This window comes from Homo sapiens, chromosome 17 (genome assembly GCF_000001405.40).
Source record: "Homo sapiens chromosome 17, GRCh38.p14 Primary Assembly".
Classification (NCBI taxonomy): Eukaryota; Metazoa; Chordata; class Mammalia; order Primates; family Hominidae; genus Homo; species Homo sapiens.
Window position 1 is genome coordinate 58,419,503 of NC_000017.11, and position 12,066 is coordinate 58,431,568.

At 39.4% G+C, this 12,066-nt stretch overlaps 1 protein-coding gene across 2 annotated transcripts in view; it reads right to left on the bottom strand.

The window, feature by feature from the left end:
- HSF5 (heat shock transcription factor 5) overlaps positions 665-12,066 on the bottom strand; it is a 68,242-nt gene continuing 56,840 nt past the window's right edge. For both annotated transcript variants that reach the window (NM_001080439.3, XM_011524283.2), the window contains exon 6: positions 665-2,928. In NM_001080439.3, the coding sequence (NP_001073908.2) occupies positions 2,858-2,928 (71 nt within the window). In that variant the 3' untranslated portion in view covers positions 665-2,857. The remainder of the gene's footprint in view (positions 2,929-12,066) is intronic.

Consider the following 12,066-nt stretch of genomic DNA (forward strand, 5'->3'; position numbering starts at 1 on the left):
AAAACGTGCAAAGGAATGAAAAGACCTAGCCCTAGTAATTAATACACACACTTAATTGACAGAAAGAAGACAGTTACAAATGTGGTTGCCCTCTCTTGAGGAAACTCTGAGATTTGGAAATGATGATGATATGCATCATGAACCTGGAGACTTGGAGAAACTCAAGATCAAACCAAACAGCTCTATGTAGCTTAGTTCACTGTTTTAGATCACCAGAATTGCAAGAGCAATTATTCTTCAGCTTCAAAGTTTTGGAGTTACCCTCTAGGGTTGATATACTACTACATTTTCCTAGAGATGTCATAAAGATGCCATCACTATTGTAATGAAATGCCTAAGTCTCAATGACATCTACTAGCTAGTCTTATACATGAGATAGATCATCCTTCAGGATCTACTTTCACCTCTGGATTGATTAAATTTATCAAAGATCATTCATCCTTTTCCAAAAATGTAGGTTTCTGTAAAACATGTCTAAGAATTGTCCTTATCCCTAACGGCATTTAAAAAATTCCATTGCTATTCAAGTACAAATGAAAAAAAACTTTTAAAATTCAGATTATTTGAAAAATAAAGTAAATCTCATTTGAATTATACTATTAACTGTCATAATTATTGAATTTTCTATTAATCACCAAACAGTAAGAACAAGCAAGACAACAAGTCTAGTTGGAACACTCACTTTATTGTTGACTGATTGAAATTTATCAGTGCTTAAGGTGCTGAAATACTGAGGTACTAGTCAGGAACCTTGTTAGTTGACTAGTTGTGTCAGACCCTACTGGCTAATTCACAGGAAGACTTTATTATACCTCTTGCCATTTTGCCCAAGTCATTAATGACAGCTTTAGTTGATAGATACAAGGCGTGTAAGGATAGCAGGAGATCCAGCTCCTTGGTCTGCTGTATTCATATATAAAAATGTTTGGAAAGCTGATTAAGGCATTTCATTAATTAAGCCTTAAAACAACTGAAACCAAATCTATGCCAAGGTTCCTGCTTGACATGTGTTCCTCAAAAGATATTATCTCAACATCTATAAAGCTAAGAAAGCCATATTTAGGGGAAAATCTACACAGTATATTAGCTCTTCAACATGACAGAGAAAAAGCAAAGTTCCTTCATTTGGAAATTGGGTCTCCTCTTCACATACTCTGACAAAATATTATATAGTCTGGCCAAAAGATATAGGTGTCTTGATAATTTGCTCTTTTAAACCTTGCTAATAAAGATAAATAAATGCCCATCACATAGACATTAACTAGTCTAATCAGAGGGACCACACAGGTCGCTTTTCAGAACCTACTTTAATATCTAAACAGAGTCACTGCAGATCAATACAGAGCTCACCCTTTTCCAGAAAAGTAGATCTCTGTAATATTTCTAGGGTTTGACATCATTGGGAAGGCACAATGCAGTATAAGAAATGAACTGTTACATCCACAACGGCTAGCATAGTACTATGTCATATCACCAAGTGCCTTTTTAATTAGTTTCATATTCCTAGGCTTTCCTTTCGTTTCTGCAGTGCTTAATAGGAGAACTGAAACAGAATCCAATAAGAAAGTTTTGGTCAATTGAAAGACTTTAAATCAGAAAGTTTCTTGCTGTCACTGGATAAGCAAGTAAGGGATTAACCACAGAAACTGGACATCCAAGACATCCTTCTCTCCTAAAACACAGTCCCACAATCCTACTGCACAAATCTAGAATCCTGTAACAGGGATAAGAAAAAAATGTTACCATCTATCCCATTATCCAAAATTCTCTCAGAAGCTTAAACCAGATTGAAACCATTCTTTAAAAATCAGAGGCATAGCTTCTACTAAATGGCTGCTAATCAGTTTTTTCCCAAATTTGCACACAATACCTTATATAGATGAGAATTTATACTTATTGAATGTAAAAATCTAAAATAAGAAAATAGTATATTAAATCTCTTAATGTTTTTGTTCACACATTGTACATTTTCCTTTCAAAATAAAAATACTACACATGCATCCTTTATCCTTCTATCCTGCAATAATAAAAATATAAAACTTTAAAACCTTTAAATCTATCAGCATTTATAAATACAATTATATTAAACAAGTTAAATACTTTCTTTAAAGACATTTAAATAAGTGATATATTAATAAAATCTTTTTACCATTTATGATAATGTATCATTAAAATTAAAGAAAGATATGAAAATAGAAGAATGCTTCCATTAATATAAAAGAATCAGGGGCTGTTAAGTGTGATAGATGGTCCAAGTCCGGATGCCTTGCTCTTAAAACAGAATGCTGGGTTAGGAAGTAAGAGAATTTCCTGGTTAATCACTTAGAAAATTAGCTCTTCTCCAGAGTTTCTTCCCTGGAATTCCTGATGCATTTAGACCTGTGATGCTGGTGACCTCACATGCCTTTGTTTCTCACACAATCTCCTCTAAAAGGATCACACTGTGACTTGAATCAGAGAGACTGAATTCCCCACTAAAGTTGTGCTGACTACAGTTTGAGTGGCAAGACAACAAATCAGCACACACACAGATTATTCTTAGTACCATAGATGGAGCAGTTTTTAGATGCTCCTTGACTATAACAGAAGGTCAGAACTTTTCATTTAAAAGGGATCTGGGCAGCCAAAAAACGTGGCTGCTAGATGTTCAGTAGTTTGTCAAGGCAGATAATCTGAACTGAACCACTGTAGTACATACAAATTCCCAATTCTCAATTAACAAAATTCTCAATTAACGAAACAAAAAATACTTTTTTTTCCTTAACAGAACTGAAAAAATCCCAACAGTTTGTCATGTGCAAGGCTAGTCTGCCTCCAGCTACAGCTAGTGCACAATGTCACATTTGTCATCCATTCCTCACTCTTTTAATTCTTCCTCCTTTGGAAAGCGCTCCTGCTTGCAGGCCACGTCCACCAGCAGATGAAGATCTAGAAAGAAAGGATAGTTTACTCCCTCTTAGCCTCTCTGTAGAGTTCTATAGACAAGTTTTCAGACAAGCAGAACAAGTTGTCTATGTCTCACCTGTAGAACTGGCTCTAAAATTGTATAGTCCCATCAGATTCTCAATTTCGGGATATTCCTGTAACTCTAAAGCACACTGATGCAGCCCAGTTGTAACCCAAAGAGACCAACAAATTTTAGTGTCCCTCCTTTTCAGTAGTATAGCCAAGACTCTTTTCACCTCAGTTGCCTTTTTTTTTTTTTTTTTTGAGACGGAGTTTTGCTCTTATCGTCCAGGCTGGAGTACGGCGGCACAATCTCGGCTCGCTGCAACCTCTGCCTCCTGGGTTCAACTGATTATCCTGCCTCAGCCTCCCAAGTAGCTAGGATTACAGGCATGCACCACCACGCACGGCTAATTTTTATATTTTTAGTGGAGACGGGGTTTCAGCATGTTGGCCAGGCTGGTCTCGAACTCCTAACCTCAAGTGATCCACACACCTTGGCCTCCCAAAGTGCTGGGATGACAGGCGTGAGCCACGGTGCCTGGCCTTCAATTGCCTTTTATTGTAAGTGAAAAAGTAAGGAAAAGTGTCAAAGGGATCAAAGTGAATATACACATACAAATAAAAATTCATTTCCTTCATGCTGTAAGAGTAGGTGGGTGGGTTGTGGGAACATGAAAAGGCAATGCCTTCAGAAAAAACAATGTTAAAATAAGTAATCACCATTTTTCCAAAGTTGATTGACTCTATAAAATTCCCACTTATTGACTAACACAGCTGAATTCTTGTAAAAACACCTAGCTGAACTGTCCATAAAAAAGAAAGCATGTCCTCACACAGTGGTTCATTAAGAATGAAAGAAGTAAAAATGCAAATTAGGTACTAGGTTCTGTAATACAAAAAAGCTAAGACCATGTGTAGAAGTTGAGCTAAAACGTCTATAGAGGAACACAGGCAGCAATAAAAGGATCTTAAAGTGGCTTCTAGCTTCAAGCTAATGTGCTTACAACTTCTAGAGCAACATGACCAGGGAGCTTTTTTTTTTTTTTTTTTTTTTGAGACAGAGTCTCACACTGTCACCCGCGCTGGAGTGCAATCTCAGCTCATAGCAAACTCCGCCTCCCGGGTTCATGCGATTCTCCTGCCTCAGCCTCCCAAGTAGCTGGGATTACAGGCGCACACCACCATACCTGGCTAATTTTTTATATATTTAGTAGAGATGGGGTTTCACTATGTTGGCCAGACTGGTCTCAAACTCCTGACCTCGTGATCTGCCCGCCTCAGCCTCCCAAAGTGCTAGGATTACAGGCGTGAGCCACTGCGCCCGGCCCAGGGAGCATTTTTAGGTTGGTTTTGAAGTTTACAACTTTGCTTTAGCATTTGTGAGTTAAAGTATACAGCACAAACCCTTTATTTCATTCTCAACATACAAAGACTTTTGTTGCTACATTTTTGGAACACAGCCTCTACAGGATTGATCCACAGCCCGAGCAGGATAGCTGATTCAAATAAAATGGAATTCTACTACCACTTGGTAGAAAATCTAGAAAGCATTTGAAATAGTACCTAATTTTTGTCATATTTTGTAAAAGACAGACTAGTCACCAGGGATAGGTGCTTACTCATCTGGTGAACTACAACCTAGCCATATAGAACAAGTAATTTATCCACATAAGTATTTTGTGGAAGGAGAGTTTATCAGTTTATCACTTAAAATGAGTTTCTCATACTCCCATGATCACAGCAGTATAATCAGCAGTATTATTCACAATAGGCAAAAGGGAGAAGAAATCCTAGTATCCATCAACAGATGAATGGATAAACAAAATGTGGTATACACATATAACGGAATGTTATTTAGCCTTAAAAAGGAATAAAGCGGGACCAGGAGTGGTGACTCATGCCTGTAATCCTAGCAGTTTGGGAGGCCGAGGCAGGCAGATCACAAGGTCAGGAGATCAAGACCATCCTGGCTAATATGGTGAAACCCCATCTCTACTAAAAATACAAAAAATTAGTTGGGCATGGTGGCAGGCGCCTGTAGTCCCAGCCACCAGGGAGGCTGAGGCAGGAGAATTGTTTGAACCCGGGAGATGGAGGTTGCAGTGAGCCAAGATGGAGCCACTGCACTCCGGCCTGGGCGACAGAGTGAGACTCCGTCTCAAAAAAAAAAAAAAAAAGGAGGAAGAAAGCCAGGAGTGGTGGCACATGCCTGTAGCCCCAGCTACTCAGAAGGCTGAGGCGGAAGGATTGCTTGAGCCCAGGAATTCAAGGCTGCAGTGAGCTATGATGGCACCACTGCACTCCAGTGTGGGTGACAGAGCAAAACCCTGTCTCAAAACAAACAAACAAACAAACAAAATGGAGGAAATTCTGGCACATGCTACAACAATAGGCATTAGGATAAATGAAATAAACTAATCACAAAAAGACAAAAGACAAATACTATATGATCCCATTTATATGAGGTAGCTGGAATAGTCAAATTCAGAGACAAAAAATAGAATGGTAGGTGCCAAGGGCTGTTGTTTAATAGGTACGGAGTTTCCGTTTGGGAAGATGAAAGGAGTTTTGTAGATGAATGGTAGTGATGGTTGTATTCACATGAAATACAAATGTGAATGTATTTCATGCCACTGAACTGTATACTTAAAAATGGTTACAATGAGGCCGGGTGCGGTGGCTCATGCCTGTAATCCCAGTATTTTGGGAGGCTGAGGCGGGCAGCTCACCCAAGGTCAGGAGTTCGAGACCAGCCTGACCAACATGGTGAAACCCCATCTCTACTAAAAATACAAAATTAGCTGGGCGTGGTGGCACATGCCTGTAATCCCAGCTACTCGGGAGGCTGAGGCAGGAGAATCGGAAAATCGCTTGCATCTGGGAGGCGGAGGTTGCAGTGAGCCGAGATTGCGTCATTGCACTCCAGCCTGGGAAACAAGAGTGAAACTCCACCTTAAAAAAAAAAAAAAAATTACAATGTGCCAGGTATGGTGATGCACACCTGTAGTCCTAGCTACCTGGGAGGCTGAAGCAGGAGAATTACTTGAGACTGCAGTGTCCTATGATTGCATCTGTGAATAGCCACTGCACTCCAGCCTGGGCAACATAGTAAGACCTCTATCTCAAAAAAAAAAAAAAAAAAAAAAAAAAACAGGTTAAAATGGTAACTTTTATGTTATGCACATTTTACCATAAAATGGCTTCTCTGAAGTTTAAGTAATAATGATAATAATGATAACAGTAATACATTTACATAACATCTCTTTTTCAAGTAGCTAAATGCATTGTGTCAAGGTCATGTAATTAATCCTGAGTAGTTAGTAGATAACTAGGAGGAAGAGCCTCTAAGCCATTTGGCTAATGAGTAAAGCCAATGGTTTCCAAACCTTGCTGCATATTGGAATCACCTGGGACTTTTTAAAAATTACTGATGCTTGGGGCCCCTCCCACCCTCAGACATTCTAATTTAATTTAATTGGTGTGGAATGCAACCTAGGCATCAGGATTTTTGAAAGCTGACCAAAAAGAATAACACCTAACTATGATCATTTTCTAAACCTATAGAGACATACCAGCTCCATAAAGGACAGGCCATATGGTGGTAGAAAATACTAAAATAAGATTTTGGAATATGAATAGACCCAGTTGTAACCCTACTTTGAAAGCAGAGTAGTAATTATTGATAAGGACAAAGGAAATGACTGTTAAAGCAACTACAGATCTCAAATGGGGAGGCAGACTGAAGAACAGTAGTAACAAACCCACTGAATTTTAATAATTGGGCTTTAAAGTAGCATTTGGCACACAGCTTCTAATAACAAGCATCTAAACATAATTTTATTAAAGCAAGCTTCCTTCATTAACAAAGTTGCCAATCAAGGAGCTAAGGAGTACAGAAATCAATAAAAATACAAAAAGACATAGACTAGCTTGGTGTTGCTAGAGGTTTATACGCCTTCACTCAAAAGATAAACTTGCATATTCATCAGAGAAGATAAGTATTTGGGAATCACAGGCTTGAGAGGTGAAAGGCCCCAAGAGACAAGAGCATTGCATCTACTTGTTTGGGAATGATCATTCCTACCAAGAGCATCCTCTAGGGTTTTGGGGCTATTACCTTAATAAAATCTCATCCATAATCCAATAGCTATAAAATGGGAAGTATTTTCTTCAGGAATGAATTGAACTTTGCTCTTAAACATTCAGTTTCCTTTGACTGTAAAACTAAACATCCTATCAGAGTGTAGTTCCCACAATGAGATTAATATTTGGGTACATTTGGTTTAGGGTAATACCATTGCAGAAATCAGAAGAGCATGATTCAGTCTAATATTCTTTACCTCTTGGTATTTTTTATTTAAAAGTTATTTCCTTAAGTCAGCATGTACTCAAAAGAGCTACACAAAGCATGCCAGTGGCTGTAATGGATAACCTCCTCCCTAACAAAATACACATCACTGAAATCACTACAATTTGGACACCTAATCAATTCGAAGTCTCTTATGAAAAAAAAATGTTGGCCAGGTGCGGTGGCTCACACCTAGAGTCCTAGCACTTTGGGAGGCTGAGGAGGGTAGATCGCTTGCATCCAGAAGTTCGAGACCAGCCTAGGCAACATGGTGAAACCCTGTCTCTATAAAAAAATAAAAATAAATACAAAAATAAATTAGCTGAGTGTGGTGGCATGTGGCTATAGTCCCAGCTACTCAGGAGGCTGAGGCAGGAGGATAGCTTGAGCCCAGGAGGTCAAGGCTGCAGTGAGCTGATCACACCACTGCACTCAGACTAAGCAACAGAGACACTATCTCAAAATAAAACAAAATAAAAATAAAAATGTCAAATAAAGCTTCAAGTGTGAGAAGATGTCCCTTCTTACACAGGTTAAAGAAAATTTTAATTTAGTTTTTAAATTTTTATAATTTAGTTACGGAAGGGCACTGATAAGTTCTGCAATATAAGATGCTCCTGTTCAATGTGATATTGAGCAACATAATGATATTCCAACAGTTAATGTCAGAATTATAGCATTTCAGAATTTGGGGGCCAAAGGAGTCTTTAGAGGAGGATTTCATGAGATTCTCTTATATTCATCATAAATAATGTATTTTAAGAGTTGGAACATTATTGATGAGAGATACTCTTAATGATAATGACAGATGAAATTTAAATGATATTTTAGAAATTTTTTATTTGGTTCCTATCATTAATATTTTAACTTGAAATTTAGTATCTACCAAGATAAAAAACATTTGGTCATCTATGAGAACTAAACTGAATGCTATTCCATTTTGAGCTCTCCCCACAAGGGGTGCCTCCTCACTCTCCTAAGGGCTTCTCTGCCCATCAATGATCAGGGCTGCAAAAATATCAGAAGCTAAGAACAAGGAACAAGAACATCTAATACAAGGTTGGCAAAGTTTTTCCTGTAAAGAGTCAGATAATAAATATTTTAGGCTTTATGGCCCATATGGTCCCTATGGCAATTGATCAATTCTGCTATTGTAGCACGACAGCAGTCAAAGACAACACATAAATGCACGGCTGTGACTGCATGTTCCAATAAAACTTTATGGACATTGAAATCTGAATTTCACATAATTTTCATGTATCATGAAATATTCTTTTGATTTTTTCCTCCAACAATTAAAAAATGTAAAAACCATGCTTAGCATGTAGGCCATATAAAAACTGTCAGCAAACCAGATTTGATCCACAGGGCTTAGTTTACTAACTCCTCTTCTAATAGCACACGCTATGGGTACAATCAAGATAAATTTAAGGAAAACAGGAAAAAGATTTCATCAAGTTGAATATTGTTATTATAGTTCTCAAAACAATATATTTTCTCCAAAGAAGATATAAAAATGGCAAACGAGCTCATGAAAGGATTAGTCATTAGGGGAATGCAAATCAAAACCACAATGAAGGCCAGGCGCGGTGGCTCACGTCTGTAATCCCAACACTTTGGGAGGCCGAGGTGGGCAGATCACGAGGTCAGGAGATCGAGACCATCCTGGCTAACACAGTGAAACCCTGCCTCTACTAAAAGTACAAAAAATTAGCCAGGTGTGGTGGCGGGCGCCTGTAGTCCCAGCTACTCGGAAAGCTGAGGCAGGAGAATGGCATGAACCCAGGAGGCGGAGCTTGCAGTGAGCCGAGATCACACCACTGCACTCCAGCCTGGGCGACAGAGTGAGACTCTGTCTCAGAAAAAAATAAAAAACCACAACGAATTACACCTCACAACACAAGGATGGCTCTAATAATAATTTTTAAAAAAGGAAAATACCAAGTGTTAGCGAGGATGTAGAGAAACTGGAACCCTTGTGCATTGCTGGCAGAAGTGTAAAACAGTTCAGCCATTATGGAAAATAGTTTAACAGTTCCTCAAAAAGTTAAACATGGAATTACCATATGACCCGGCAATTCCACTTCTAGGTATAGACCCCGAAGAACCAAAAACAGTTACTAAAACAAATACTCGTATATGCATGTTCATAGCACTATTCACAATAGGCAAAACATAGAAAAAGCCCAAATGCCCATCAGTTAATAAATGGATAAACAAATTGTGGTATACATATATAACATAACATTATTCAGCCATAATAAGAAATGAAGTACTGATTTACATGCTACAATGTGGATGAACCTTAGAAAACATTATGCTTAGTAAAGTAAGTTAGACACAAATGTCACACACATATTGCATTATTTCATTTATATAAAACATTCAGAATAAGTAAATCCATAGAGACAGAAAACAGATTGGTAGTTGCCAGGGGCTGGGGAAAGGTGGGAATATGGAACAACTGTTTAATGGTTATGGGTTTTTCTTTTGGGGTGCTGAAAATCTTTTGGAACTAAATAGAGGTGGAGGTTGTATATCATTATGAATGTACTATATGCCACTTAATCGTACACTTTAAAATGTTTAACTTATAGCGAGGCATGGTGGCCCATGCCTGTAGTCTCAGGAGGCTGAGGCAGGAGGATTGCTTGAGCCCAGCAGGCAGAGGTTGCAGTGAGCCAAGATCATACCACTGCACCCCAGCTTGGGGGACAGAGCAAGACCCTGTCTAAAAAAATAAAAACTAAAAAACTAAATGTTTGGCCAGGCGTGGTGGCTCACACCTGTAATCCCAACACTTTGGGGAGGCCGAAGTGGATGGATCACCTGAGGTCAGGAGTTTGAGACCAGCCTGGCCAACATGGTGAAACCTGATCTCTACTAAAAATACAAAATCAGCCGGGCATGGTGGCGGGCGCCTGTAATCCCAGCTGCTTGGGAGGCTGAGGCAGGAGAATCACTTGAGCCCAGGAGGTGGAGGTTGCAGTGAGCCAAGATCACACCACTGCACTCCAGCCTGGGCAACAAAGCAAGACTCTGTAAAAAAAAAAAAAAATTAAATGTTTAATTCTATGTTAATTTTACCTTAAAAAAAAAAGGTATATTTTCCTGTCAATTTGAAATGACCAGACAAAAAGAAGGGGAAAGCAGGAAATGGCTATAAATACAAAATTCATAGTTATGGTTGACTTTGTCAACCTCATTGGATTAAGAAATACCTAGAAATCTGGTAGAGCATTATCTTTGTTTTTTTTACTGTTTTTGTTTTGTTTTGTTTTGTTTTTTCAGATGGAGTCTCACTCATTCTGTCTCCCAGGCTGGAGCACAGTGGCGCAATCTGGGCTCACTGCAACCTCTGCCTCCCAGGTTCAAGCAATTCTCCTGCCTCAGCCTCCCAAGTAGCTGGGATTACAGGCACCCACCACCACACCCGGCTCATTTTTGTATTTTTAGTAGATGGGGTTTTGCCATGTTGGCCAGGCTAGTCTTGAACTCCTGACCTCAGATTATCTACCCACCTCAGCCTCCCAAAGTACTAGGATTACAGGTGTGAGCCACTGTACCTGGCCTGGTAAAGCATTATCTTTGGATATGTGTCTGTGTTTCTAGAGAAGATTAGCATGTGAGTCTGAGTGGACTAGGTGGGGAAGATCTGCTCTCAATATGGGTAGGCACCATCCAGTCAGCCAGGGGCCCAGAGAGAACAAAAATGGAGAAAAGGCAAGTGTGTCTGCAGCTGGGGTACACTCTTCCTCTCCTGTCCTTGCACATCAAAACTCTAGACTCCCCAGCCTTTGTACTCTGGGACTTACACCACAAGCCCCCTTGGCTCTTAGGCTCTAGTCTTGGACAAGTTACACCATTGGCTTCCCTGGTTCTGTGGCCTTTACACTTGGACTGAGCTACACTGCCAGGGTCTCCAGCTTACAGACAGCTTGTGTGGGACTTCTCAGCCTCCATAACAGTATATGCCAATTTCCCTAATAAATCCCCTCTTATATGTCTATATACAGTCAGGAGTCACTTAACAATGGGGATATGTTCTGAAAAATGTGTCATCAGGTGATTTTGTCCCCGCACAAATATCACATTGTATATTTACACAAACCTAGATGGTATAGCCTACTACATACTGATATAGTTTGGCTGTCCCCAACCCAAATCCCACCTTGAATTCCCACATGTTGTGGGAGAGACCTGGTAGGAGGTAACTGAATCATGGGGGCAGGTTTTCCCGTGCTGTTCTGATGATAGTGAATAGTCTCATGAGACCTGATGGATTTATAAGGGGGAGTTTCCCTTCAGAAGCTCTCTTCTCTTGTCTGTTGCCATGTGAAACATGCCTTTCACCTTCCACCATGATTGTGAGGCCTCCCAGACACGTGGAACTGTAAGTCTATTAAACCTCTTTCTTTTGTAAATTGCCCAGTCTCGGGTATGTCTTTATCAGCAGTGTGAAATCGGACTAACACACATACCAAGGCTATATGGTATAGCCTATTTCTCTTAGGATACAAACCAGTACAGCAAGTTACTATGCTGAACACTGTAGGCAATTATAACACAATAGTAAGTATTTATGTATCTAAACATAGAAAAGGTACCATAAAACTACAGTGTTACAATCTTACGGGACCACTGTTCCATATACATGGTCTGTCATTGACTGAATGTCATTATTTACAATCTTACGGGACCACTGTTCCATATATATGGTCTGTCATTGACTGAATGTCATTATGCCGTGCATGACCATATATATCCTA